This window comes from Homo sapiens, chromosome 1 (assembly GCF_000001405.40).
Source record: "Homo sapiens chromosome 1, GRCh38.p14 Primary Assembly".
In the NCBI taxonomy this organism is placed as follows: domain Eukaryota; kingdom Metazoa; phylum Chordata; class Mammalia; order Primates; family Hominidae; genus Homo; species Homo sapiens.
Genome location: NC_000001.11, coordinates 178,559,749 through 178,586,766, shown reverse-complemented (window position 1 = coordinate 178,586,766; position 27,018 = coordinate 178,559,749). Strand labels below are relative to the sequence as shown.

Here is a 27,018-nt window from a genome sequence, read left to right as displayed (position 1 = left end):
CCAGACCCCCAAAAGTTATTTTTTTCTGATTATAAAAATGATGCTTATTTTAAAAACTTTTCAAACAATATTGAAAGTATCATATATAAAGTAAAAATTACTACCCTCCCACCCACCAGACATAGCCATTGCCAGCTAATATTTTTCCAGGCATTTTTTTCTTTTGAAAGATAGATAAATAATTTTAAAAGAGTACATGCTATAACACACCATTTCATTTAAAAATATGTTTTACCTGGGCACAGTGACTTATCCTTGTAATCCCAGGACTTTGGGAGGCCAAGGTAGATGGATCACTTGAGGTCAGGAGTTCAAGACCAGCCTGGCCAACATGGTAAAACCCTGTCTCTACTAAAAATACAAAAAATTAGCTGGGCATGGTGGTGCACACCTGTAGTCCCAGCTACTCAGGAGGCTGAGGCAGAAGAATCGCTTGAAGCCAGGAGGCAGAGGTTGCAGTAAGCTGAGGTCACGTTTCATTCTTTCACTCCAGCAATGAATATTCACTGAGAATATATTATGTGCCAGCTACTCTACTAGGTTTTGGGGAAACGTGGATAAGTTTTGGTTTCTATCCTAAGGATGAAGGAGAAACTAGTGTCTATTGAACTCTCACTCTGTGCCAAGCACTGTAAAGGATTCTTTATCTCATTTATTCTCTATTAAAAAACAAGAACAACCCTGTGCAGTAGATAGTATTATCTCTTGATATAAGTGAGGAAAAAGAAGATCAGAAAGCTTGAGTAGCTTGTCCAAGATCATATAGTTAGTAAGTACAAAGCTGGGATTTGAACCCAGGTCTGTCTGATTTCTTTATGTCACACACAGTTTACGAAGAGAGATGTGAAAATGAATAACAAAAGCCAAGTCATACGTGCTTTATAAAATCTGAACAAAGGGATTTATTTAGGCCCATCAGCCATGATGATCAGAGAGGCCGACTTCAGACAAGTCTTTTCTCTGTAGCAGGCAGCTTCTTAATGGTCCAGGATAAAGAGACAAAACCAAACATGAAATGATTTGCCCTGACTCTTCACAGCACCAGGAGGCCCTCGATAAGCCAGAATATTTGCTGACCAGGAAGCTAGAGAAGAGTAGGAGGGTGTTTCTAAACAGCTACAGGGAAGCCAAAGCCAGCAAAGATAGGAATAGCATTTGAGGAGCAGGCAGAGCCATATGGAAAGAAGAGATTGGAGGAAAAGGACAAACTGTTGGGAGGTCTTAGGGCTCAGGCTGGTGGGACTGACACCTTGAATGGCCTTGCACCATGAACAGGTGATGTGCCAACATAGGCCAACCTGTAGGGTGAGTGTGCATCTCATTGGAGGCCAGGTTGGGAGGAGCCTGGAAGCATTGCTTACCAGGCACTGGGCTGCAGCAGCTGATGAAGCTTGGGTGGGCTGAGTTAGTCTGCTGAGGGGTTTAGATTTGCCTGGACAAGATTCATGGAGTTGACCAGGCAGCATCCCATGAAGTCAGTCCAGGAAGAACGTCCCCAAATTGACAGCCCTCAGCTCTTTCTTTCCCCATCTAAGAGAGAACCTGAAGTGTGGAGCATGCACTTGCTGAGGGTTCACTGGGAAATGGCCACGCCCATGGGGGCTGGTCCTTTCCTTGCTTGTACTTGTTCCTTATGTTATAGCTGAACATCCCCCCTCCCCAGTGTAGGGATCATGGCAGAGGGCAGCGACTTGCCAACTTATTTTAATCCTTTTTTTTTTTTAACAAACAAAATCTTATATACTAAAATTTTTAATACATAAGGCAAGTAAGACTGTAGCTGCTGTCATCTGAGTGATCAGGGAAGCCAGTATCCTCTTCCTCTCTGAGGATGTTCTGTTGGGTACACAGTTTAAAAATCACTGACATAGGACCAGGTGTGGTGGCTCGTGCTTGTAATCCCAACACTTTGGGAGGCCGAGGTAGGAGGATCACTTGAGGCCAGGAGTTCGAGACCAACCTGGCCAACACAGTGAAACCCCATCTCACTAAAAATAGAAAAAATTAGCTAGGCATGATGGCACATGCCTATAATCCCAGCTACTTGGGAGGCTGAGGCATGAGAATCACTTGAACCTGGGAGGCAGAGGTTGCAGTGAGCCGAGATCGCACCACTGCACTCCAGCCTAGGCGATAGAGTGAGACTCCGTCTCAAAAAAGAAAAAAGAAAAACCACTGACATCACTAGAAGAGCCCAGAATTTAAAGTTAGAACACTCAGGTTCTAATCCCAGCTCTGCCATGGAAAAAGAGTGTGGCTTTCAAGAAGTCATTTAGCCTCTCAGACTATTTTTCATCTGTGAAATGAAGATAATTCTTGTCTGCTTCAGATGTGGTTGTGAACATCAAGCACAACCATGTGGGGGAAAGCAGCTGTAAAATGCCATATAAATGTGAAATATTCCTTTCCTTGGCTTTTCCACGTTTGCATAGCTCCATGACTTCTCCACATCCAGGGGCTAGGGGACAAAGCCATACCATTTGGGACCAAACAGTATGATCTACTCGCTTTTCTGATGTCCAAAAAGAGATGGTCATTTGAAGGTATATTTCTTTGGGTTTTTCTCCTCCTCCATGCTGTTATTCTTGGATTGCCCTTTTCACTTTTCTCTGCCAGTCAGACCCATTCTGTATCTCAGTCCACCACATGCAGAGACCCAAATCTGCTGCCCACAAGAGCACTCACCCGGGTCGCAGTCTCTTCCACACAGGTGCTCCTTGTGTGCTAGCCGATTGTCGTTTAGATTTTATAACTCTCTGGAAAATCCATCTTAGCAGAGAATAACAAGGTCATTTCCTCTACTTCTCCAAGAATACCCCAGGTCCATACAAAAGAAAAGCACCAACTCTCTTCTCTGGGTTGCATCAGGGAAACTTATTTCTAGTGGTTCTCCTATTGTTCAATGCTTTATGTTGCAGCATTATACGTGGAAAAAATATCCGAGAGACTGACAGTGTATTCACCCCAGATCCTTCCTCTTGAGGCCAGAGGTGTTAGGAATGAAGATGGTATTGGTGCGGAAAGTGGTTTAATGCTGGGGTTCAACAGAGAGGACCATGTCAATTCCTCACGGTCCTGGGCAGACTTAAATAACGGGCTTAATGTGGAGGTGGTTTTGTACACTCTGGTGCCTGTGCTGTTCCTAGCTTTTCCACCAGCAGTCCACACTGCTGAGGGTTGCCTTCTATAGTAGTCCCCTCTTAGCCTCAGTTGCACTTTCTATGGTTTCAGTTACCCACGGTCAACCATGGTCTGAAAATAGGTGAATATGATACAATTAGATGTTTTGAGACAGAAAGAGCCCCCATTCATGTGACTCATTACAGCATAGCATTATAATTGTTCTATTTTATTATCAGTTATTGTTGTTAATCTCTTACTGTGTCTAATTTGTAAATTAAACTTTATCACAGGCATATATAGGGAGAAACAGTATATATAGGGTTTGATACTACCCAAGGTTTCAGGCATCTACTGGGGATCTTGGATGTCATACAATACAGTAGTCCCCCTTTGAATAAAGTGAAGACTACTTAAATAAGGGGAGACTACTGTATTGCACAACACTAAGAGTGGGAAACTGACGAAAGTGGCATAAGTTGTATCTCCACGTTCCCAGCTATATATAGTTACCACCTATATACCAAAGGCATGTGGGTGTAGGTATTGTGTTAAATGGGATAGACTTTGATTTCTGGGTTAGGATCTCAATTGGTGTTATTGTGATATCTACTAGTAGAATGGCTTCAGGCCTGTGACATCAATAGTCCCCACCTTAAGAGAGAACCAGTGGGCTCACCTGAAGGGCCAGTGGTTTCAATGACCCACTGTGGGCAGAGCAGGAATTGGACTTCATTTGATTGATTGATTGATTGAGAAAGGGGTCTTGCTCTGTTGACCAGTTGACCAGGCTGGTTTTGAACTCTTGGCCTCAAGTTATCCTCCTGCCTCAGCCTCCCAAAGTGCTGGGATTACAGGTGTGAACCACTGTGCCTGGCCAGGAATTGGACTTCAAATGGGGGCAAACCAATCTGCCACATATCCTACAGACTAATAGAGCTTAATTTAGTGGCTGCTTACTCAGAAGGGATTTACTTCTTCTTTTCCCATCTGTTTGGATGTTTCCTATAGGTTCAGAGTCCATCTGACTTTAGTGGAGCCATGGAGACTCTTGCTGGAACTGTGCAGCCCATCTTTGCATTTTCTTTTGAGTGGCATCGTCCAGTGAAGAGGAAGAATAAATGAGGTGAAAGGAGAGAGGCCACTAGCAGGGAACTCTAGCTCTGATTTCCTGGCAGCAAAATCTGCTCCTCTTGCCAGAGGGGCACTTGGGGCTTTACTGTTTGGCCTCTTCCCACTGCTCATATCTGTTTCTTGATATTCCTCCAAAATGTACCAGTCCTTCTAAGACCAGACATCAGGACTCTGAGTTCTTCCAGGGAGTGACATAGAAAGAGAGGCTTCTTTTTCTCTCCTATTCTCTTCATTCCTGCAACCCAACCCTGTATCTTTCCATCGTGCCAAGGAAGCATCACACACACTGCTCCATAGTCCCTACTCCATAGTCCTCACAGGCAGGGCCTCCTGTCCTCCCATCTGCCTGGCATCACCCAGTACACAGGTCCCAGTGGCGCGTCCTGATGCCTGGGCTCACCAGCTTTCAAGTAGGAGACCAGAGAACTCACTGGGAAGTGGGTGTAAAATATGTTTAGTGCCCACATTAACATTTCATTCTGGTTATGCACCATCAAGGGGCCAGAGAGCAGATGGGATAATTAAAATCTCAAGACAATTGGTTTTAACTTCCTTCCCCATTAGACCTTTCACCAGTGCAATTAATTTCCCTATTTTTCTCCTTTTATTTTCTTTAATCAACCTCTGTTTAGGGAGCTAATGAGCCATGACAAGAACAAAAGGCCAGCAGCCAAGAGGAGGGGGAAATAGGAGCTGGCAGACCAGACCGGACTGCGGCTCCTGAGCTGGTTGTTTCCCTTCTCAAAGGCGCAAGTAAGGTGTCGCTGTCCTTTACTCCGCTCAAAACTTTAGGCCTCCTCTGCGAGGCTGCTCCCCTCCATGGCACCCACCCACAGGGCAGAAATGCAGAAAGCAAGGCTTTGCCTCTAGGGTGGGAGGGGAGGGAGGAGCTGGTTCCCAAGGGAACAAGGAATCCCGTTTGAGAGACTAGGATGTTCTCAGCCTCAGAACTGGCTTGCGAGCTGGCCAAACATGCAAATACCCACAGGTGCAGCATGTAAAAGAGAAGTGGCCTTGGGTGAGGCTGCAGGGGCAGCTGGCCGCACATTTTGCATATGCTCCTAGGAAGCTAAAGTTAGGCTCTGGTTTACCCCAGGTGTAGGGGCCACATTTAGCTATTCCTCACCACTGAGCAAGGGGCTTGCTGCATTATTTGGCTAGGGCAGGGTCTGGCTTGCCCTCTGAGTCCTGAATTGGGTCCCGGGCCATTGCTGTATTTGGGTAAGGTTAGGGTAATCACAACTACTCTTTCCCTTCCCCCAACCAAGTCTGAACATCATCGATTTAACACCTAAGATGGACTTGAAGGATTGTCTCCATCCCAGAGCTAAGACATCACCAGGATTCCATACTAGCAGACCCCAATCTGGTTTGCTCATGGACTTCGCCTGTACCATTTCTCCTAACCAGTCTTCTACAGCATCACTTGCTCTGCTTGGCACCCTGCCAGCCTCTGACCCCTAGATGGGCCTTCCTTTTTGTGGCCCAGCCTCATCCCCATACCCGATGCTCTGCTTCTCTGGCCTCCCATTTTTCTCTCTTCTTTGGCCACAGTTTGAATTCCTATTCCGATGAGCTACCTTGAGCCACGTGGCTCACTCCTAGGACCTCATCCAGTTCCCCATGTGTGCAGGACCCAGGAGTCTGGAGGAGGGAGCGGCCTCAAAGACCAGAGGAGGGGGAGGGTGTCGATCAGAGACTGGCACGGGGAGAGGAGGTGTAGGCTGTTGGTGCTGAGGGGATGCCTGCACCCCTCAGGTCTTGTTTCTTCCTCCACCAGCTGCCCCCTCCTCCCAGAAGTGGGATCTGAGCCACCCCAGGGTCCAGGCCAGGAACAAGGGCCCTGTTTGCCACACTCCAGGGCATCTGTGTTGTGCTAAAGGCATGGTGCCCTCTTTTTTCTTTTATAAAGAGTTCAGGATGTGCCCTGAGGAGGAGGGATGGGGAGGGAATGGTGGTGGTCAGAGGATGTGAAGCATCCACTTAGGGTCAGAAATTGCCATGTGTCAGTGGGTGTCAGGGGCAGGTGAAGTCTTTAGTGGTCTCTGAGACCTTGTACTAGTGGGGTGAGAGGGGAGGATGGAGTAGGGAGAGATCAGACCCCCTATCCCATCTTCACCTTGGGCAGCCACCCAGTCAGTGAGGAAGAGCGCATTCCTTTTTTTGGTCCTGGAGCTTAAGGGCTGTTCTCTTGTTGGTAGAAAGCTATAGATTCTAATGCTTCCAAATCAGAGACAGAGGCTGGCTGTGACTGGATTCTGGTCACTAGAATCACAGCGAGGAAGGCTGAAGCCTGTGACGGGGAAGTGTCTAGGAAATCATTGCCCGTAATCCTCCCTGGGCTATTTTTTTTTACATGGTGGTTTTTCCTAGTTCATTGACAGTGATGACCGGTTCCCTACAGAGCTGGCCACCTTGCTGAGTGCACTGGATGGCACACAGTGACAACAAATGACACAGAAGCCTCTCTTCTCGAGGACTCGAGGAGTTAAATATCTGATGGAGAAGAGAAGACAGGACCCAGGCACAAGCAGCGCAATCTGTATGAACAAATACAAGAATCACATACTCCACAGTCCCATGAGCCACGGGGATAGATAGCAAAGGGTTCCCCAGCAGCCCTGGCAGGCAGGTAGACAGCCACAGCTATGCGGGCCCTTAGGTCAGCCCTCTCAGATGATCTGAAACCACTTCAGTCTGTCTGAAGCTCTCATGAACATTTCCTGTTAAGTATTGTTTTCAATAATTTATTCTGGAGGAGATGTTGGCTCCCCTGGGAATCACTTTGCAGCACATCCCCTCCAGAGACCAGCTACAGACATCAGGCGCCAGGATAGAAGAGTCGCTCTGTGTAGACGGTGGACCAGGAATAAGGTTGCCTCAAAAAAATAATAGCTGACATCCGCCCCACCCTCCACTCTTCAATCAAGCCAGTCAGGCAATGAACCTTTTCACACCTGAGGGATTATTTTTGCTTTTGTCTGATTCTGCTGTGTTAAAGGAAACAAGTGTTGAGAAAGGTAAGTTGTAAAAGAAAACTGCTGCCTTTCCCTGATTAACTGGGAACTGACATAGAGGAGATTTTCTTCTTAGGGAAGTCGAAGTGGGAGAACAGAATCGGGGGTTCTGTTCCCTGGTTAGCTCTTTGTTCTGGGGGGCTGTCCTATGCATTGCAGGATGTTTAGCAGCACCCTGGCCTCTGTGACTATGCACTTCCTCTGCTTGTGACCATTGACAGTGTCTCCTGATGCTGCCCAAAATCTCCCTGTGGGCAGTATCACCTGTAGCTGAGAGTCACTGCCACAGATTAAAGAGGATGGAGTCCCAGGCAGCACCAGGGATGCCCCCGGCCGCCTGCTTTGGAAAGGGCTCAACTCCCTAAAATAGAAACAAACCCCAGAAGTGTCTGTAGGTCACAGAATTCAGCATGGCTGAAATTTGAGTGATGTGCACTGCTTTCTCAAGAAAAAAAAAAAAAAGGATGATTTCCAGTGTTAACATAAACCACTTTTATAAAGATTGTTAGTTGGATGTACACAAACATAAAATTGGGTATACAACCCTTGTAAGTTTTCTACAACTATAAAATCAAAATAAGTTCATGATTTGACAAATCAAATATAAAACCAATAAAACTCAAGGTAACATTAATTGAATGAGACAGATAGTGTGATTTTGTGGAGTCAAATTGCCCCTTGCTTGGTAACTCAAGCACCGAGTCGGTTCTCTGAGCTGGGCACGCCTTACACCTGCATTGTCTCATGACTTAAATCTCACGTGGCATCGTCTCTTCAAACTCCTATGGAAACACTGGTTGTGGGCCTTCTGTGAGCTCACTTGGCAAGTACATACTCTACTAAGGCCACTTGCGTTTTCTTCTGATTGGCAATTAACAGTTGACAACTGGCAATTAAAATAGCGCATCTAGGTTGCATTGTGATTGTGAACACTGAGCAAGGCTGGCACTGTACACTCAAACGTGGACATAGGGAGGACCCCAAATATGCTTATATTCTTTAGATTCTTGTCCAAATGAAAAGAATTTTATATTTTAAAAATGACAAACTTCCAACAGATGACTCTTAGTAATATATTAGGAGACTCTCAGAGGAGCAGATCCAGTCTGGGCCTCTACAGATGAGAAACCAAGCCTAGAGAATTGCCTGGGGAAAGAGATGTGGAGGAGCAGAGCTGGCTGGGAAGCAGCCCTTGCCTGGGAGCTGATGCTCCTTCCTTTCCTCTGGCTGTCCTTCCAGCACAACACTGTAGAATTCTGAGGCACAATGGTGCATAGATTCGGCTTGTTGTTTTGAATGTTCATTCAACTGAACTGAATACTTAAAGTTCATTTTTTAAAGGTACTAAATTGAACTAGGGAGTTTCTTTTTCTAGATTTTGATCTTTCAGTATTTAGTAGTATGACTAGAAAGCATCATGTGTGTGTATGTATGTGTGCGTGAAACATAACGTACATCCACAAACTATGGAAGTAAAGATCCAGTTCAGTGAATGATGATGAAGTAAAAACCCATGAAACCACAGCCAGGTCAAGAAATAGAACATTTCCAGAGTGCAGAAGTCTCAGAGTAAGCTCGGTCACAATTCTTTTTCTCCTCTAAAAGTAACCACCATCCTCACTTTTATTATAACAATTTCCTTGCTTTTCTTTAGAGTTTTACTATCTCTATATGCATCCCTAAACAATGTAGTTTAGCTTTGCCCGTTTATAAGCTTTATATCAATGGACCCTGACTCTGAGTATTTGTGTCTTGCTTCTTTTCTTCAACATTATATTTATTAACTCCAACCATGCTGTTGTTAAGTGGCTCTAATTCTTATGCTTTCTATGACAGGCCAGCATTTGGTTTGGTTCCAGCTTGGGGCTATTACAAACACTGCTTCTCTACACATTCTTGTATACATCCTGGTCCACAGCATATGCATGTACACCTGCCTTGATGGCATTTTCCCACATCAGAATTTCTCCACTTGTGAATAGGGTGTGTGAATCTTTAACCTTAGTAGAGAATGGCAACTATTTGCCAAAACTTTGCTTCAATTTAAACTCCCAAAAGCAGACTGGGTGCGGTGATCACACCTGTAATCTCAGCACTTTGGGAGGCTGAGGTGGGAGGATCGCTTGAGCCCAGGAATTCAAGGCCAGCTTGAACAATACAGTGGGACCCCATGTCTACAAAAAAAAGAAAAAAAAATAGCTGGGTATGGTGGTCCACTCCTGTAGTCCCAGCTACTTGGAAGGTGGAGGCTGCAGTGAGCCATGATCGCGCCACCGCACTCCAGCGTGGGTGACAGAGCAAGACCCTGACTCAAAAAATAAATAAAAACAAACTTCCAACAGCAGCGGTTCTCACTATATTCCATCCTCAACAGCACTTGTTATTGTCAAACTTTAAAACTTCAACTGATCAGGTGGCTGTGTAGTGAGTAACATTTCACTGTGAGTTTAATTTGCATTTCCCTGATTATTAAACAAAACCAAGAATCTTTTACTATGTTAATTGGCCACATGAATTTCCTGTTATGTGCCTGTTCAAATCTTTTGACATCTTGCTATTGCCAAATTTAAATTTCCTTTTTAAATAAATTTCATATTCATTAAAATTACATTTGACAGAAAAGTATGTCCGTCTTCCAGGGTACCTCTGCACACCTGAGAACTGTATATAGCTAAAGGTAAAATGTCTAAGATCTGTAAGCTTATAAGCAATTTTTTTTTACTATAAGTCATTGAAAAGATTATAACAATAGTTCACAGAAAAACATGGATTTAGATCATTTTTTCTTATCTCTATTTTCAAATCTAACATCCTTTTTTTGAATTTTGTCCCCTCATTTCCCTATACTTTCATAGAGAACAAACATACTCCTATATATCACAGTCCTTTGTTAAAATCAAGTGCAACCAAAGTTATTTATTATTCTATTCTGTATTTCTCATGCTGTGTGCGATATGAATTGTTAGAAGTTAGCTAAATGTCTGTAATAAAGTAGTGACACTATTGTATATATGACCTTTGCAGCTGAGATAATATTAAGTAAAATATAAATGGCTACAATAGTTATACATATCTAATAAAAATAAATAAACAGCTCACCCAAGCCTGACATCTAGCTTTTGCTCACCTTATCTCCTTTAGACATTTGGGTATGAGCTCACTGGCAAAGAGTGAAGCCCATATAATCTACCATTAAATAAATTATTCAGTAATCTGTGATGTCCTTGTAACATGAGAATCCCCTATTTAAAAAAAAATAGCTGCACTGCTTACAGAGGCACATGCCTGCTATTTATAGTCTTTATGGAAGTTGCTTTGCTAGCAAATCCAACTAGAACTCCCCGGGAATCTACAAGGATTGATGTTTACTGCAGGGTTTTTACACTGAGCTATTTTGCATATGTGTGGGTGTGTGATGCACACACAGAGGACTGACGGAGAAAGCCCAAGCAGGTATGAGGTATTTGTTAGCTCTGCTCCATTTTCCTCTTAACATTCAGGAAACTCAAATAGGGACAAAGTAACTACAGGTCACCCACAGATCCAGTGATATGTATTCCTGACTGTATCCAGGCAACTGGGGCTCTACTTTTTTCTAAGAAGACATGTTAGTTCTCTGCCAACAATGTCAGATTTCTCTCACAGACAAAGCAGACCCAGGGGCACTGAGCCTCCCTTTTTACTTCCCCTTTTCCCCCAGGTGCGAGTATGATGTCCTGAAGACAGGAGGGGATGTGGGTTGCAGGGAGTCAAGGAATCAGGGAGGCAGCTTGCAGATCAGAGTGGGGCAGATGGCCTACATGAATTCTCATTCTGGAAGGGCTGGAAAAGAAACAGCCAGGTTGGCTGGGCATGGTGGCTCACACCTGTAATTCCAGCACTTTGGGAGGTAGAGGTGGGTAGATCACTTGAGGCCAGGAGTTCGAGACCAGCCTGGCCAACATGGTGAAACCCCATCTCTACTAAAAACACAAAAATTAGCCAGGCGTGATAGTGTGCACCTGTAATTCCAACTACTTGGGAGACTGAGACACAAGAATCGCTTGAACCCTGGAGGTGGAGGTGGAGGTTGCAGTGAGCCAAGATGGTGCCACTGTACTCCAGCCCGGGTGACTGAGTGAGACTCTGTCTCAACAACAGAAAAAGAAAGAAACAGCCAGGTGTCTATTTTTTCATAGTTTCAATTAATTTTTTGATTAGAAAAATATTTTATAAATATAGAAACTTAATTGGTATGTGGATGAAGCAATTCTCTTTATAAAAGGCTCAGAATAGCCAATTAACTCCATTTTCATGAAGTATATGTCGTGTTAACTTTTGAGTTGACAATTATCAAAAAGGTTTCATCAAGTGAAACTTGACATCAAGTTATGTGTCAAAAGTAGGCATAGAATTCTTGGCATACTGAAAAAGTATGGACAGGCAAGTGAAATGGAATTATGTGAAATATTACTTGGATTTTTCTAACATGTTACACAGCTATTCAGTAATTAAAATGTTTCTGAAAAATAAAAATATAAAAGCTGCACAAATATTTAGTAACAAAAGTTGAAAAGTACAAATTGTTTTTTAAAACGAAATAACTTCAGTGAAATTTTACTACACACCTATCAGAATGGTTAAAATTTAAAATAGTGACCATATCAATTGCTGATAAGGATGTAGAAAAACTGAATCTCTCATACATTGCTGGTGGGTATAGCCACTCTAGAGAACATTTTGGAAGTTTCTTATAAAACTAAACATGCAATTACCACAAAACCCAGCAATTTCACTCTTGGGTACTTATCCCAGAAACATAAAAACATATTTTATGTTCACACAAAACCCTATATACAAATGTCCACAGCAGCATTATTTATAATAGGCCCTGGAAACAACCCAGATGTCTCAGTGGGCAAATGGTTAAACAAACTGTGGTGCATCTAGACCTTGGACTACTACCCAGCAATAAAAAGGGAGCAAACCATGGATACACACAAAACTTGGATGGATTTCAAGTGAAAAAGCCAATCCCAAAGAATTACGTATGTTATGATTTTATTTATATAACGTTCTTGAAACCATAAAATTAGTGTGAGAGAGTATAGTTTAGTGATTGGCAGGGGTTAGGGCCAGGGGGTGGAGGATGGAAGGAGAGGGAAATAGATTATGTTACAAAAAGGCAACATAAGAGATGGTGATTGATATACAAACCTCCACATGTGATAAAATGGCATAGAATTAAATACACGTGCACGTGCACACACACACACACACACACACACACAGAGTAAATGTAAGACAGGAGGGAAATCTGATCAAGATCTATGGATTGTACCATCAATTTCCTAGTTGTAATATTGCACATACTAGAGTTTTGTAAGATGTTACCATTGGAAGGAAACTGTGGATAAAAGACACATTGTATCTCTCTGTATTATTTCTTACAACCCGATGTGAATCTATAATTACCTCTATTTAATTAAATTGTAAAAAGTTAAATGGAATCTAACTAATATTCTCATGATATAGTTGTTAACCCTGTACAGAAAAAGAACCCAAGTATGAAGCCAAAGAAAGAGCAGTGGTGAAGCCTGAAAAAAGCTCAAAGCGCGGGACAAAGGCAGAGCTGGAGCTGTTCCTGCACCTGTGGGTGTATGGGGAGCAGGGGAGAGAAGGTATCAGCACAGGTCATTTTTAGGGTGCCAGGGCAGGGTTGAGGAGGGAGTTCTTAGCAGTAGAAACCCACTGTGTGCTAACAGCAGTGAGGAGAGTCCTAGCAGCAAGGGTGGGAACAGATAGGCAGCTTCCAATGGGTGCCCAAGGTCCAAGCATGAGTTTTTTTTTAACTCTAGAAACCCAAACATACACTATTTGATAAAACTAAAATTACTTTAGCTGCTGGAAGCAAATCTGTGTTTTTTGTGATCGATTCAAACCACAGATAGAGCAGGGGATTGTCTTTCGGTAGGTGTGAATGGGGCTGTATTAGTCACCAGAGTTTCAAGTGTGCTTCTGTTTAGTTATCAAACTGCAATTCCATTGATACCCCGTCTTGAGTGTCTCCTCTGTGAGTAACATGAAAAGGACCTCTGGTTAAATAGAAAACTTGTCTTGAATTTGGAATTACAACATGCCCTTACTTATTCAGGACTCAATTAACTGAGCTTCAGGATAATCCAAGGTGAAGAAAAACAAGAGCTGACAAAGAAAAGAAATGGGTGAGTCAAGACAGGCACTGGGGTCTCTTCCCACAGACCTTGGGTGGGTTCAATGGAACCTTGAGGCCTGGGTTTAACTGGGCCTAACCCCACCCCAGGGATGTATGGGGGTTAAAGGGATTAATACTAACCTACTGACTGGTTGGAAGGGCCTGGGAGTCTGGGAAATTAGTGGGAAAAACAAAACAGAAGGTACTTAGAGTCCCAATCAAGACAGCAACTTTTAATACTGATTTCTTAATGGCAATTCACAGCCTTGACCTAACCAGTTCCTTAATCCTGCTCCAGTATACAAGCAAGTTCTACAGTGTTTGTTCCTTAATAGCTCTTTCTGATTATCTAGCATTTTGATTCATTTGCTGACCTTCAGATATTTATTGTTGTCCTGGTTGTTTAAAGGGCACTTTATTTAGGTATCTTAATTGGCCTCTTCCAGGTGTTTTCAGCTTAAACATTCAGGTCTATTTTTTGTCACTCCTCCTGGTGGCCCACCAGGGTAAGATAGATTTGGGGCAACTAAGGGGGAAAGGATAAGCTCTGGGGCCAGACAGATCTGCACTAGCCAGCTACATGACCTCAGAGTTCTTTAACTTCTCTGAACCCCAGTTTCCTATTCTGTAAGGCAAAGTGATTTAGGGTCAGGTTGCCTGATTTTTATTTATTTACTTATTTATTTAGAGACAGAGTCTCCCTCTGTCACCAGGCTGCAGTGCAGTGGCATGATCTCAGCTCACTGCAACCTCTGCCTCCCAGGTTCAAGCAATTCTCCTGCCTCAGCCTCCAGAGTAGCTGGGACTACAGGTGCGCGCCACCATGCCCAGCTAATTTTTTGTATTTTTAGTAGAAACGGGGTTTCACCATGCTGGCCAGGATGGTCTCAATTTCCTGACCTCGTGATCCACCTGTCTCGGCCTCCCAACGTACTGGATTACAGGTGTGAGCCACTACAGCCGTTCAGGCTGCCTGATTTTAATCCTAGCACCACTACCTATTGCTTGGATGTCCTTGGGTAAATTACCGAACTTCTCTAAACCTCAGTTTCTTCACCTGTAAAATGAAGGCGGCAGAGATAGCTAGTTTCCCTCATTCCTTGGTTAAAAAAAAAACCCTTCATTTTTAGTTGTACACATGGTCTCCTAAATAAAGGCCACATTTTTCAACCTTTCTGAAAAACAGAAAGACAACACCAAGGCAGAGTTGCTGACTGCCTGGCTTAGTGTTGAAGGCACGCCCCGACACTCACACGAAGCCCTTGGCAAAGACTGGGAGACTTACTGGCTCCAGTTGTTTAAGAAAAATCTCTGTTCATCATCAGCTGACCATTAAACTAACTGAGCAGGGACTTCAGTGGCCTCACCTGACAAAGAAAACAGAGTTCAGAAGAGTCAATAAACAAACGAACTAAAACAACAGCACCATCAAAACAAACCTGGGGAGGGTGGAGAATCTGATTTCCAGAGTTGCCACATTATATTATTTAAAATGTCTAGTTTGGGCCAGGCGTGATGGCTCATGCCTGTAATCCTAGCACTTTGGGAGGCAGAGGCTCACTGCAGCCTCTGTGTTTTGGGTTCAAGCAATTCTTGTGCCTCAGCTTCTGAGCAGATGGGATTATAAGCGCCCGCCACCGTGCCCAGCTAATTTTTGTATGTTTAGTAGAGACAGGGTTTCACCATGTTGGCCAGGCTGGTCTCACTCCTGACCTCAGGTGATCCTCCTGCCTTGGCCTCCCAAAGTGCTGGGGATTACAGGCATGAGCCACTGTGCCTGGCCCAGTTATTTTAAATATATTCAAATATATATTTGAAAACCATGTCTAAAAAAACTGAAGGAAACCATCTCTAAAGAACTTGGCCAGGTGCAATGGCTCACGCCTGTAATCCCAGCACTTTCAGAGGCTGAGGCGGGTGGATTACTTGAGGTCAGGAGTTCAAGACCAGCCTGGCCAACATGGTGAAACCCCGTCTCTACTAAAAATACAAAAATTGGCCAATCACGGTGGCTCGCACCTGTAATCCCAGTACTTTGGGAGGCTGAGGTGGGTGGATCACAAGGTCAGGAGTTCGAGACCAGCCTGGCCAATATGGTGAAACCCCATCTCTACTAAAAACACAAAAATTAGCTGGGCATGGTGGCAGGTGCCTGTAGTCCCAGCTACTCGGGAGGCTGAGGCAGAAGAATTGCTTGAACCCGGAGGTGAAGTTTTCAGTGAGCCGAGATCACACCATTGCACTCCAGCCTGGGCAACAAAGTAAGACTCCGCCTCAAAAAAAAAAAAAATATATATATATATATGTGTGTATATATATAAAAAATATATACAATATGATATAATATATACACATATATACATATATTATATATTGGCTAATTATATTATTAACATACTATATAAATATAATATATAAATAATTATATTAATATAATTTATATATTATATATATAGCCAGGTGCAGTGGTACATGCCTGTAGTCCCAGCTACTTGAGAGGCTGAGGCAGGAGAATCGCTTGAACCCAGGAGGTGGAGGTTGCAGTGAGTTGAGACTGCACTCCAACCTGGGCAACAGAGTGAGACCCCATCTCAAAAAAAAAAAAAGAACTAAAGCAGAGTGTGAGAATTATGTCTCAGCTGGGTATGGTGGCTCACATCTGTAATACCAGCACTTTGGGAGCTGGAGGTGGGAGGATTGCCAGCTCAGGAGTTTGAGACCAGCCTGGGCAACATGGCAAGACTACATCTCTATTACAAAAGAAAAAAAATAAAAATAAAGAGAAATGTCGCACCAGATAGAAAATATTAATAAAGAGATATAATTTGGCCGGGCACAGTGGCTCATGCCTGTAATCCCAGCACTTTGGGAGGCCAAGGCAGGCGGATCACAAGGTCAAGAGTTCGAGACCAGCCTTACCAACATGGTGAGACCCCGTCTCTACTAAAAAAATACAAAAATTTCCAGGTATGGTAGCACGCACCTGTAATCCCAGCTACTCGGGAGATTGAGGCAGGAGAATGCTTGAACCCGGGAGTTGGAGGTTGCAGTGAGCCAAGATCACACCACTGCACTCCAGCCTGGGTGACAGAGCGAGACTCCATCTCAAAAAAAAAAAAAAAAGGAGAGAGATATAATTTATTTTTAAAAATCAAATAGAAATTCTGGCATTAACATGAAAAATTCACAAGAGGAACACCAGGAAAGGTGTGAGCAGGAAGAAGAGAGAATTGGGAAACTTGAAGATAGGCCAATTGTGGTTATCCAATCTCAGAAAGAAAAAGAATGAAGGAAAATGAACAGAGCCTCAAAGACTTGTGTGGGACACCATCAAGTGTTAATAGGCATAACTGAAGTACCAGAAAGAAGCAAGAAAAAGAAAGGGGGAAAAAAAGTACTTGAAGACATAAGGGCTCAATACTTAACAGATTTGATTAAAAACATGAATTTACACATCCACGAAGCTCAACAAACTCCAAGTGGAATAAATTCAAAATATCCACACCTAGACACTTCAAAATCAAACTGTCAAAAGCCATAGACAAAGAATCTTAAAAACAGCAAAAAAAAGTAACTCATCATATACATAGGATCCTCAAGATTAACACTGAAACACTCCAATTAAAAGACAGATATTGGCAGAATGGATTTTAAAAATCATAGAACTATATGTTCTTTGTAAGGGACAAAATGTAGATTCAAAGACAGAAACAGTCTGAAAGCAAAAGAAGGGAAAAAGATACACCATATAAACAATAACCAAAAGAGAACTGGAATAGAAATACTAATATCTGAGAAAAAATACAAATAAATTATACTATATTATGCTAATATATAACAACATTTTCCTAGAGAAAAAAAAAGGAAATTTTATAATGATAAAAGAGTCAGTCTATCAAAAAAAATTTCAAATATATATGCACCTCTCAACAGTTCCAAAATATATGAAGAAAAAAATGACAAAACTGAAAAGTTAAACAATTCAACAATAGCAGTTGAAGATTTCAATATCCCACTTTCAATGATGAATATAAAAACTAAGTAGAAGATCCACAAGGAAACAGAAGATTTGAATAACACTATAAGCCAACTAGACGTAACAGTTTCTATGGATATAGAAAACTCCACACAACACCAGCAAAATACACATCCTTTTCTTTTTTTTCTTTTTTTTTCCAAGACAGGGTCTTGCTCTGTTGCCCAGGCTGGAGTGCAGTGGCCCGATCTCGGCTCACTGCAATCTCTGCCTCCTGAGTTCAAGTGATTTTTCTGCCTCAGCCTCCTGAGTAGCTGGGATTACAGGCACCCGTCACCATGCCCAGCTAATCTTTTGTATTTTTAGTAGAGACAGTGTTTCACCATGTTGGCTAAGCTGGTCTCGAACTCCTGACCTCATGATTCACCCGCCTCAGCCTCCCAAAGTGCTGGGATTACAGGCGTGAGCCACCATACCTGGCCTACACATTCTTTTCAAATGTGCATGAATATTTCACATGATGGACCCTGTATTAGTCCAGAAAACAACTCTCTAATTTTAAGAGGACTGAAATCATACAAAGTATGTCCTCTAACCACAATGGAAGTAGAAACCAACAACAGAAGAAAATTTGGGAAATTCACAAATATGTAGAAATTAGACAAGCGATAGGTCAAAGAAGAAATAAGAGATATTAGTAGTCTTTGATATGAATGAAAACAAAACACATCATACCAAATCTTATGGGATGCAACAAAAACAGTGTTTACAGGGGAAAATTATAGCTGTAAATGCCTATATTAAAAGGTAAAAAGGATCTCAAATCAATGACCCAACCTTCCACTTTAAGAAATTAGAAAAGAAGAGCAAATTAAATCCAAAGCAAGCCAAAGAAAGAAAGTAATAAAGGTGAATAGAAATAAATGAAATGGGGGAGGAAAAAAAGTAGAAAAAAAAAATCAACAAACCCAAAAGTTAGTTCTTCAAAAAGGTCAAAAAATTGACAAAACTTTAGCTACACTGACCAAGAAAAAAATACAGAAAACTCAATTATTAAAATCAGAGATGAAAGAGGGGACATTGCATTGAACTTAGAGAAACAGAAAGGATTATAAGGGAATACTATGAACAATTGTATTCCAACAAATTAGATAACCTAGGCCGGGCACGGTGGCTCACACCTCCCAGCACTTTGGGAGGCTGAGGCGGGTGCATCACATGAAGTCAGGAGTTCCAGACCAGCCTGGCCAACATGGTGAAACCCCATCTCTACTAAAAATACAAAAATTTGCCAGGCGTGGTGGCGCATGCCTGTAATCCCAGCTACCTGGGAGGCTGAGGCAGGAAAATTGCTGGAACCCGGGAGGTGGAGGCTTCAGTGAGCCAAGATCATGCCACTACACTCCAGCCTGGGCAACAGAGCGAGACTCTGCCTCAAACACACACACACACACACACACAAACACACACACACACACACACGAAAGAGAAAGAAAGTCTAATTTGACCTATAACAAGAGATTGAATTATTAATCAAAAATCTTCCCACAAAGAAAAGTCCTGGACCAGATGGTTTTATTTGTAAATGCTACCAAACATTTGTAGAAGAATTAGCAACAATCCTTCACAAACTCTTTCAAAAAGAAACAGAAGAGAAGGGAACACTCCTAATTCATTCTATGAGGACAGTAGTGCCCTGATACCAAAGGCAGAAAAAGACATCACAAGAAAACTACATGACCAATATCCCTCATAAATATAAAAGCAAAAATTCTCAACAAAATACTAGCAAACTGAATCCAGCAACATATAAAAAAAGGTTATATTATTAACTACTCCATAGGGTTGCTGTGATAAGCGAGTTAGTAGGTGCACAGGGGCTGCACATAGGAAGTGTTCCATAAATGTTCATTTCTTCTTCCTGTTTTCTCATGAATGGATGTGCCAGGAAGTACTAGGTTCACCAATATCTGGATTCTCTCTTTTATGTATAGTTGATCTCATTACTCATGGATTCTGTATTTGTGAATTCACCTACTTGTTAAAATTTATTTGTAATTCCCAAATCAATACTCATGTTGCTTTCTTGGTCATTCATAGGCATGTGCAAAGCGATGAAAAATCTGTGTTGCCTGACAAACAACTGTCAGTGAAACAAGGCTATATTTTACCTTATTTTTTCAGTTCTCATATCATAAACAAGTATCCTTTTTGGGGATCTATTTAGTGACACACTTTTTACTTTTTTTGCTTTCTGCTGGTTATTTCACTTTTTCCCAAATGTAATGCTATAATGCTGATGTTTATAAGCACAAAAAGTCTGTGATGTGCCTTATGGAGAAAATACAGGTATTAGATAAGCTTTGTTTAGGCATGAATTATAGTGCTTTTGGCCATGAGTTCAATGTTAAGAAATCAACAATATGTATTTAAAAAATAAGATGTCTTCAAATAGACACACATAGAACAAGGTTATATATTGAATAGGTGATGAAAATGTTGTGTCCAGGGGCTTGTAGGAACCTAACCCTGTATTTCCCTTAGGAGCAATGGTTCAATATTCTCTAAGTCAGTGTTCATAACAACTTTGTAAAACATAACTACCACACATAATGAGAATTGGCTGTACATGTTCCTGCTGTGATAGATTAAAACACATGGCGACAACATTTGCAACTCCTCCATTAAGAGACTATTTCCCCATACCTTGAATCTGGGCTGTCCTGTGACTAGCCTTGACCAATAAAATATGGCAGTTTTGTGCAATTTTTGGAGCCTGGACTCAAAGGATCTAGCAGCTTTTGGCTTTGTCCTCTTGGAACACTGTCCTGAGATCATCATGTAAGGATGTGAGTTGAGACCGCCCACTGGAGGATGAGAAGCCACATGGGGAAGAACCAAGACACCCCAGCCAACAGCCAGAAACAATTGCTACACATGTGAATGAGGACATCTTGGACTTTCCAGCACAGTCAATCCTCCAACCACATAGAGCTGTATGAGTAAGCCCAGGCAAAACCAGCAAAAGAGTTGCCCAGCTGACGGATCACTTGAGGTCAGGAGTTTGAGACTAGCCTGGCCAACAGGGTGAAATCCTGTCTCTAGTAAAAATACAAAAAATTAGCCATGCGTGATGGTGGGCACCTGTAATCCCAGCTACTTGGGAAGCTGAGGCAGGATAATTGCTTGAACCCTGGAGGCAGAGGTTTCAGTGAGCCGAGATTGGGCCACTGAACTCCAGCCTGGGCGACACAGCCAGACCCTGTCTCAGAAAAAAAAAAAAAAAAAAAGAGTTGCCCAGCTGAATCATAGAACCATGAGAAGTAATAAACTGTGTTGTTTTGGGGTGGTTTGTTTTACAGGAATCAATAACTGGTATACCTACCTGCTGGGAGTTCAGTGTGGCTATGGGACTTGCTTTTGCAAATTAAATATGACACATGTCGCTTCTAAGTGGAAGCATGTAATTGCTCTTCCCCTACTGTGGCAATCAGGGAAGGGTATGTTGATAAAGAAAAGCTGTGAGATCGAATGGCATGCTAAGTCATCACGCAAGGACAGTTGCCCTGGATGGCAGCCACCCAAACCCAAAAGCAGACCAGGGTGAGCTATGAATAAACTTGTATAAATCCTAAGATTTGGGGGATGTTTTTTACTGTGGCATATCTAGCCTATTTTGACTATCAGAACTGGAGATTTTAATAAACATTTTATTTATTTATTTATTTATTTATTTATTTATTTATTTATTTATTTTGAGACAGGGTCTTGCACTGTCACCCACGCTGGAATACAGTGGTGCAATCTTGGCTCACTGCAACCTCCACCTCCCAGATTCAAGCAATTCTCCCATGTCAGCTTCCCAGGTAGCTGTGACTACAGGTGCCACCATGCCTGGCTAATTTTTGTGTTTTTAGTAGAGACAGCGTTTCACCATGTTGGCCAGGCTGGTCTGGAACTCCTGGCCTCAAATGATCTGCCTGCCTCAGCCTCCCAGAGTGCTGGGATTACAGGCATGAACCACTGCGCCTGGCCTAATAGACATTTCCTATGCTAAGCCTTTTTCCTACTCACCCAAGAATTTCTAGACCTCTCTGGAAAAAGGAAAAAAATGCTTGAATGTAGGCTGACAGGTCAATGCCAAGCTGGGTGTCTGGGATTAATTACAAATATTCATCTGCCCCTTTGAATCCATTCATTCCACATACATTTGTTAGTGTCCTTACCAGTTAATTGTACAGAAGATGCTCTTGGACCACCCTGGTGATAATCTGATAGTCCTTTGCAGAACAAAGAGGTGATCCCGAACCAGGTCAGTGGATATGCGTACAGAAAACAGAACACCAGTCAGCTGACCTTGCTGTCTTTGCTGAGCTGTGTCCCATTATCACAGTCAAGTTCACCTTACAGCTCAATTGGCATGCAACATTTTTCTCATATGTCAAATGAAATGAGAAGTAAAATGTGTCCTGAGATCTAAATGGTAGCTGATAAAAATGAAAGTTTCCTAATGATACTTCTTTAAAAATAAATAAATAAATAAGACCTAGTTACTTCTACAGACAGGGCCCTGCAAGGGGGCAGACACTAGTTAGGTTTTTACAAATTTTAATGCCTGAGATGTTTCTACACAGAATGCCCTTAGCTTAACAACACGGGACTGATTTAACACAAACAGGGAGATCCTTGCTGAGAAAATAGGCATGGACTTTGGTCTTGTTGTCAAAGATGAAAGTGCCCCTTGGCACATATAGAGACAGAAGGCAGATTTATATGTGCAACCGGACAGGGCTGAGGAGATTAAACTGTGCTTAGCAGCTTCAGTACCCATTTGGGCTCATGGTGAATGGCATTTTTGTTCCACCTTGCTGTCAGTATTCTCGGTTGCTTCAGATTGGTGTCAATCAGCATTAGAAATTACACCACTGGAAGACTCAGGTATTTCTGATTTTCCTTCTCATTCATTTTGCCAAGTGGGAATTGTTCACGAACTTTTCTGCAGAACAATAGCTCCCTTCCTATGGCTGCAGTCCAAGCCTCTGTAACAGTGTAATTCATTTTCTAGAAATGCTTGGTCCACAATTTCCATTGACTGTGGTCACAGACTTTTCCCTTCCCCAGCTACTCCTTTTTCTACAACTCTGGATTTTGTGGCTCAAAATTTGGGACACTGACAAGGACTCAACTTGAGCCAGACCAGAAGAAATGAATTTGAATCTGAATTAAAAGAGGAATGATTTAAAAGATGTGAAGGAGGACTTTTTTTCTTTTTTTTTTTTTTGATATGGAGTTTCATTCTGTCACCCAGGCTGGAGTACAGTGGTACGATCTTGGCTGACTGCAGCCTCTGCCTCCTGGGTTCAAGTAATTTTCCTGTCTCAGCCTCCCGAGTAGCTGGGATTACAGGTGCCCACCACCACATCCAGCTAATTTTTGTATTTTTAGTAGAGATGGGGTTTTATCATGTTGGCCAGGCTGGTCTCGAACTCCTGACCTTAGGTGATCTGCCTGCCTTGGCCTCCCAAAGTGCTAGGATCACAGGCGTGAGCCACGGTGCCCAGCCAGAAAGAGGACTTCTTGATAAAATTTATCTTCAGATTAGAAGATTGGTGCCTCTTCCCCAGTGAAATCTGCGGTGTGTGACCTGCATATGACCGGGAGCACTCAGCTGCTCCCTACCTTCACCTCAAGCCCAACCAGTTACCTCCCACTGCTACCCATTAGCGCCAAATGCACCTGTTAGTAACATAAATTTGACTGAGGCTTGCATGGGGAAACAGGAATGAGGAAAGGTGAATGAATGCATGTCACACAGCCACCTTCCATCCCATTCATCATCTCCTCCTCTGAAGTTCCCCTCCACAGTCTCCTTTTCTGCCTCTCCAGCCCCTGCTCACTCCACTCCCATCCCCGAGTTCCCCTCTCAAAATCTCATCAACTCACATGCCCCTCAGACAACCAGAAACCACTGAATAGCATTCACCAAAGGAAAGCCCTGTGGGTGCTGAGTGCGACCCTTATGCCCCTGGGGATGCAGGTACCCCCACCACAAGGGGACCTCCAAAACAGGAGGTCAAGTGAGGAGCTACCCTGGCCCTTTCTTCTGCTCTGAACTCTGGAGCAGGCCCTCAGCACCCCAAGGCCCCCTCAACCCAGCTTGGAAACTTGGGGTTGGGCCTCCACTGGGCTCAAGGCCTCAGGTTAGTCCCTGATGGCTGAATGGTTCTGTGACTGACTTTCTCGGTGAGTTAAACAAATTGTGTTACCGAGAACCCAAGCATCTGTCAGAAGGCAGGACACTTTCCCTGGAGATAAAAGTTCTTATGAAAACCAAGAATAAAGGGAACAGGGACAAGCCAGAAAGAATGGCAATGGTGTTGAATAGAAAGTACTTGGAACTAGAAGACACAATTTCTTGTTGCAGCTGGCCTCAGACTGGCTGTTCTGGGCCCGGAGGAAATCTCTCAGGTCTTGTGAACCTTTGCTTCTAATTTAAAAATGGAAATGCCCTTCCCACCTCACGGGGTCATTGTGAGGCTAACATGAGGTGCTGCCTAGGAAAGGAGGAGAAGGGGGATAAGGGGAAAGGGGGCTTAGCAACATGAGGGAGCCGACATGTACTTCCGTTCAGCCTGAACCTAGAGCCTCTAGGATACAGTTAGACTAGCTTTTCCCCCGCGACAAGGGTTTACGGTTCCCGACATGTTGGTACTTGTGAAGAGCTTACTCATTGTTTCAAAAGAAAGCTCCTTGTACCGTGAAATTTTTGCCCTTGCAAATCATTATAGCTAAAAAGTAGAGGTCGGGTGCGGTGGCTGACGCCTGTCATCCCAGCACTTTGGGAGGCCGAGGCAGGCAGATCACCTGAGGTCAGGAGTTCGAGACCAGCCTGGCCAACATGGTGAAACCCCGTCTCTACTAAAAATACAAAAATTAGCTGGGCGTGGTGCTAATTACTGTAATCCCAGCTACTCAAGAGGCTGAGGCAGGAGAATCACTTGAACCTGGGAGGCAGAGGTTGCAGTGAGCCAAGATTGTGCCACTGCACTCCAGCCTGGGCAACAAAGTGACACTCCATCTCAAAAAAAAAAAAAAAAAAAAGAGTAGAATCCCTGATATGCCAAAATTCTCCCTAGTATAGCTCCAAGGCTAGGTAGTTCAAGGGACAGATGAGCTTCAAGGAGCAAAAGGAGCCAGAATTGGATTTGAATTTGGGGCCAGAAAACTGGTGGAAAACTTTCTGAAAACACGGCTGAGGGTCAGAGCCCAAAAGGGGCCAAGAAAGAAGCCAAAAGTATCTCAAGAGGGCTGGTGGGTGGGGTGGCAGGAAGTAAGGGGGAATCATAATAATGGCCTCTCACTTTGTAGAGCACAGCAGAGTTTTAAAGGTGCTTGTGCATTGGTTATTTCCTTCAACTCTCACGTGAATCCCATGTTGTATTACCTTGACCCTCATGAAATTGCCATATTGGCTCAGAGAGTTAAGTGACTTTCACAAGCTCACACACAGTAAGTGTTAAGAGCGTGGCAGAGAGATGAGGTCTGGTAGTTTGTAAAGTGAAGAAGTTTGAATTTTTTCCCCCACAACTTCTCAAAGACTTTTCTTTTTACTGTCATATGTTGCTGAGTACAGACACCAGCCTAGAGAAAGAAGTTGTAAATGGCATTTGGAGGTCTGGTAGGGCTGGGGTTTCAGTGGGATGGCAAAAAGGTAACCACCTTTTTCACCCCTAACTCCCTGTTTATCACTGAACCAAACCCAGTTGATTAGCAAGTTTAGGAGCAAGTTTATCTCCTTGTAGGAAGCCTCTCTGAGCCAATATGGCAATTTCATGAGGGTCAACATAATATGTACAAAACAGGATTCTTGTGAAAATTCAAGGAAATAACCAATGCACAGCATTTTTAAAACTCTGGTGTGCTCTACGAGGTGAGAGGCTGTTATTATGATTCCCTCTCTCTTCCTGTCATCACCCCACCCACCATCCAGGCTGCTTGGCCCCACACGTCCTCCGGCCTTGGCCACTGCTACCATCGCCCCTGCACTTCACTCCTGGGAGGACACTGGGCTTCTGTATGTTTCTCTTGTGCCCAATGCCAGGCCAACCCTGAATGAGTGAGACAGGCACAAGGTGTGTCTACTCGGGGAGACAAGGCAGCAGAACCTCAGGGGTAGTAACGCTCCACAGAGAGACCCGTGATCAGTGACAGACAGGAGACAGCAAACAGCCTTCAGACATTCCTTTTCTCTCCTCTCCCACTCCGAGGTGTGATGGGTCCATGTGGCCCCATCTGTAAGGCTGCAGGGTGTATTTTCTCCCATCCCCCCCATCCAAGTACTAACCAGGTCAAACCCTGCTTAGCTTCCGAGATCAGATGAGATCAGGCATGTTCAGGGTGGTATTGCTGTGGACAGGGTGTATTTTCTTGTGAAGCTGTTCCCAGCTTGGTAATACCCCTGCCTTCCCTGCCTCAGCTCTCCTTTTCCTTCCCTCTTGCAGCCTTGGTATTGCCCCTCCCGGTTAAGCCTTAACACACAAACTTTGCCTCAAGGACTTTTTTTCCTAGAGAGTCTAGGTTAAGACAATCACTTTGACCCAAATTCCCATTTCCTACCCACTCTGTGGAAAGCTCTGTCATCTTCATGAGCATGAAGTCTTTGGACTCAAAGCACAGGACCCCGTCCCTTGGTGAGGCCTGCAGCCACAGAGAGGACTGATGGATGACATTTGCAAGAATGCCATTCTGTGCAAAGCTACCAGACGGTTTGGCTAAAGATGGAGGCAGGAGAAGAAAAATTTCTCAGGTGAAGTTCTCTGGGTAAAATGGTTTTCTCAGGCCCAGGTGTTGTGAGCAGGCACCCCAAAATCTGGCCATAAACTGGCCCCAAAACTGGCCATAAATAGAATCTCTGCAGCACTATGACATGTTCCTGATGGCCATAATGCCCACGCTGGAAGATTGTGGGTTTAAGGGAATGAGGGCAAGGAATACCTGGCCTGCTCAGGGCGGAAAACCGCTTAAAGGCATTCTTAAGCCACAAACAATAGCATGAGTGATCTGTGTCTTAAGGACATACTCCTGCTGCAGTTAATTAGCCCAACTTATTCCTTTAATTTGGCCCAACCCTTCATTTCCCATAAGGGATATTTTTAGTTAATTTAATGTCTATAGAAACAGTGCTAATTACTGGCTTGCTGTTAATAAATACGTGGGTAAATCTCTGTTTGGGGCTCTCAGCTCTGAAGGCTGTGAGACCCCTGATTTCCCACTTCACACCTCTATATTTCTGTGTGTGTGTGTCTTTAATTCCTCTAGTGCTGCTGGGTTAGGGTCTCCCCAACTGAGCTGGTCTCAGCAAGTGGCGTCCATTCGTGGGAGCTTGAATCCAGGTCGAAGGGTCACCGGAGCAATGGTTGGAATGGAAAACTAGCTGGAGGACACCCGAGTACTCTAAAAGCAATCCCCATGGTGAGTAAGAAGGGGAGCTCGGAAGTGTCAGGGTAACAATGGGACAAGTGTGGGCTGTGGTTTGTTCCACCTTGGAACTTTTTCACACTGATAATGAGGAGGAAGGA

The 27,018-nt window shown here is 43.4% G+C and overlaps 1 long non-coding RNA gene and 1 pseudogene across 4 annotated transcripts in view, besides 2 other annotated features; one reads left to right on the top strand and one right to left on the bottom strand.

The window, feature by feature from the left end:
* Positions 1-905: 905 nt before the first annotated feature.
* The window catches only part of LOC105371632 (uncharacterized), a 31,712-nt gene continuing 5,599 nt past the window's right edge, over positions 906-27,018 (top strand). Inside the window, exons 1-4 of one of the 4 annotated variants that reach the window (XR_007066747.1) lie at positions 6,660-7,274; positions 12,786-12,931; positions 13,405-13,474; positions 19,541-26,879. This is a non-coding gene — a long non-coding RNA (uncharacterized LOC105371632). Of the gene's footprint in view, positions 13,475-19,540; positions 26,912-27,018 lie in introns of those variants that run through there. The other 3 variants (XR_922314.3, XR_922313.3, XR_922315.3) reach the window with 3 other exon arrangements.
* Positions 5,454-5,503: an enhancer, noted in NCBI's record as "active region_2144". NCBI's record gives its function as "activates an Ori minimal core promoter by ATAC-STARR-seq in GM12878 lymphoblastoid cells {active_cell/tissue: GM12878}" and the evidence as "EXISTENCE:reporter gene assay evidence [ECO:0000049][PMID:35858748]".
* Positions 20,235-20,284: an enhancer, noted in NCBI's record as "active region_2143". NCBI's record gives its function as "activates an Ori minimal core promoter by ATAC-STARR-seq in GM12878 lymphoblastoid cells {active_cell/tissue: GM12878}" and the evidence as "EXISTENCE:reporter gene assay evidence [ECO:0000049][PMID:35858748]".
* On the bottom strand, positions 25,738-25,854 carry RNA5SP69 (RNA, 5S ribosomal pseudogene 69; annotated as a pseudogene).